This window comes from Homo sapiens, chromosome 4 (assembly GCF_000001405.40).
Source record: "Homo sapiens chromosome 4, GRCh38.p14 Primary Assembly".
In the NCBI taxonomy this organism is placed as follows: Eukaryota; Metazoa; Chordata; class Mammalia; order Primates; family Hominidae; genus Homo; species Homo sapiens.
In genome coordinates, this window is record NC_000004.12 from 156245711 (window position 1) to 156248031 (window position 2321).

The 2321-nt window shown below is 33.6% G+C and overlaps 1 annotated feature.

Moving 5' to 3' along the window:
• Nucleotides 1854-2054: a silencer, noted in NCBI's record as "peak5138 fragment used in MPRA reporter construct". NCBI's record gives its function as "represses an SCP1 promoter by STARR-seq MPRAs in K562 erythroleukemia cells {active_cell/tissue: K562}" and the evidence as "EXISTENCE:reporter gene assay evidence [ECO:0000049][PMID:32103011]".

The following is a 2321-nucleotide window of genomic DNA, read 5'->3' on the forward strand; positions in this document are numbered from 1 at the left end:
TAGCATATAATGAAAAATAGTGGATTACTCTGACAACCTGATAAATTGTTTAAAAAACACGAATAATAATAATGGGCTAGACATTATTAACTACCTACTGAATAGTTGTTCTTCTCTCTTCTTTGATAAAACAAATACATAAATTACAGTTTTGTTAAGAATGGCAATATGTCCAACCTAAAGCAAAAATGAATGTTGGTCAGAGCATCAGCAGCCATCTTGCTCCATGAGGAAGATGTAAAAAACCCCAAGTATGTTGAGTCAATGACCTGAAGTGAGCAATCTCTAAGTTATGATGTTTTTGTAATATGAAAAATTATTTCTTTCTTCCACCGTAAGTCATTAGTTCTATAATTTTCCACCAAATGCAATGCTAAACATAAATCAATATGTGTTTAGTACATAAATATGTACTAAACATATTTCTAAATAAATATATAAATTTATTTATATAACTAAATGTTTTTATGATTGTACAGTTGGCCTCTTTCATAATAATTGTCTTATTTATAAGCCTAGTGCAGAAGAGGCGAAAACATAAAGTTTCTTTTTTTTTTCACTTAACCTATGTTCACAAATAAAAATTCTTTTCTGTGGTGATAGTTTGAAACAAATTAGAAGTCATATCTTGGTTTGTCCAGAGAGATGTAGAATCACATTGGATTATAAAGAGTGAAGAAAGAAAAGCAAAGAAAAACTTGAAGATTCTTTTCTAGACAGAAAGGGATTCAAAGGAAAGTATGGTGAATTCATAGTATAGATATGGCTTATTTAGCTTTGTCATTATTATTGTTAGCTATTTTTTAAAGAATTATCCACAAACAAAGAACTCAAGTGACCAGTTCTCTAGTGTCAATGTTTATATGAGGCACATGAAATTCTACAGAGGAATAAATGCTACCAAAGTTTAACATGAAGCAGTGGGTATAAAGTCCAGCACAAGTGGATACAGGGTATATGTGAGCTCATATCTTCAACTTTAGGGGGCAATATAAAATAACAAGAATTTGATGATTTTAAAATGTTGACGAAGACTTCTGGAGGTATGGCAGAAAAACATCTGATTTAGTATAATCCCTTTTAACTAAAAATTTATGTGCTATGGGACAAAATAAAGGAGAATAAATAAATACTACAGCTAAGACTGAAACAAACAGAAATTTCCAGTCACCAGAAATGAATAGTCAGCTATCAGAGGGTGCTATTACATACCCTTTCATGGAAGTCTTGGCAACAGATATACTCCCTGAAGCAAGGTAAGAGGCTCCTGCTAACAGCAAGAAACATTTAGGTACTCACTGTCTTCACGGATTACAGAAACTCTATTCTGTGGCCCAGATAAATATATAAAAACTTTGTCACTTGTCTAATGCTTTGGGTGGGAAAAATACACCATTTGTGAGAAAAAGAATCCTAGACATGTACCAAGCAGGTATATAAGCAAGGCTGGCTACAAAATTTGCTAGGCCCAATGCAAAATAAAAGCGCAGGGCCTCTTGTTCATAAAGCAAGAAAAAAACCACTACTGGTAATGGTGCTAAAATAAAAAATTTTTACTTTCTTCCATAGTCTCTCTATTGATGTGTTATGGTACACTTTAGGTACTATTTAAGTCTTTCTAAGTAAACAAACAAAAACACCACACTAAAATTTTAAATTAGCTGGAATTTTACCCTTAATTTTTATAGTGTCTAATGATAGTTTTAAATGCAAATATGAATGTGTATTAGAATAATGAATCACAGAAATTATACAATTCATGTTTCACAGCTCGTATATGCCTATGTGTTTTATTCTACAAGAACGGTGGAAACTGTATAAAACTAACTCAACTGCTTTTATTTATCTTATTGATACATGCACATTCTACCAACATTTCTACCTACATATACAGACAACTAAATAGGCACTGAAATGAAGAGGAACAATGGGTAGTTCTATCTTTCCCTTTCCTGCTGTGTCATCATTTTTAGTGTCAGTGGTTGACTAGTTAGTACAGGGAATTAACACAAGTAAGAAAGGATATGACAGTGCTCTTTGGTCATGGTGTTTCTTAGAATGCAATTGTGTTTTTTCCTGTTTGATGCAAGTTCTGCTTTGATCAGAATGGGTGGGCTTTTGGGGCTGTCAGTGCTCCTGATTAATCAGTGGTAGAGGTAACGTGCTTTTTCCTTGTCTGAGTTTTGCTGAACGCCCGTACCTCAAGAGTCACAGGACTTGTGTACTCATGGAGCATTATATGGGAACAGGGCATCAAGGAAGGTGGATAGCTAGCTATATTGTGCCTATCTCCTCTGCATTATTGCCTCATCAGACTTCAC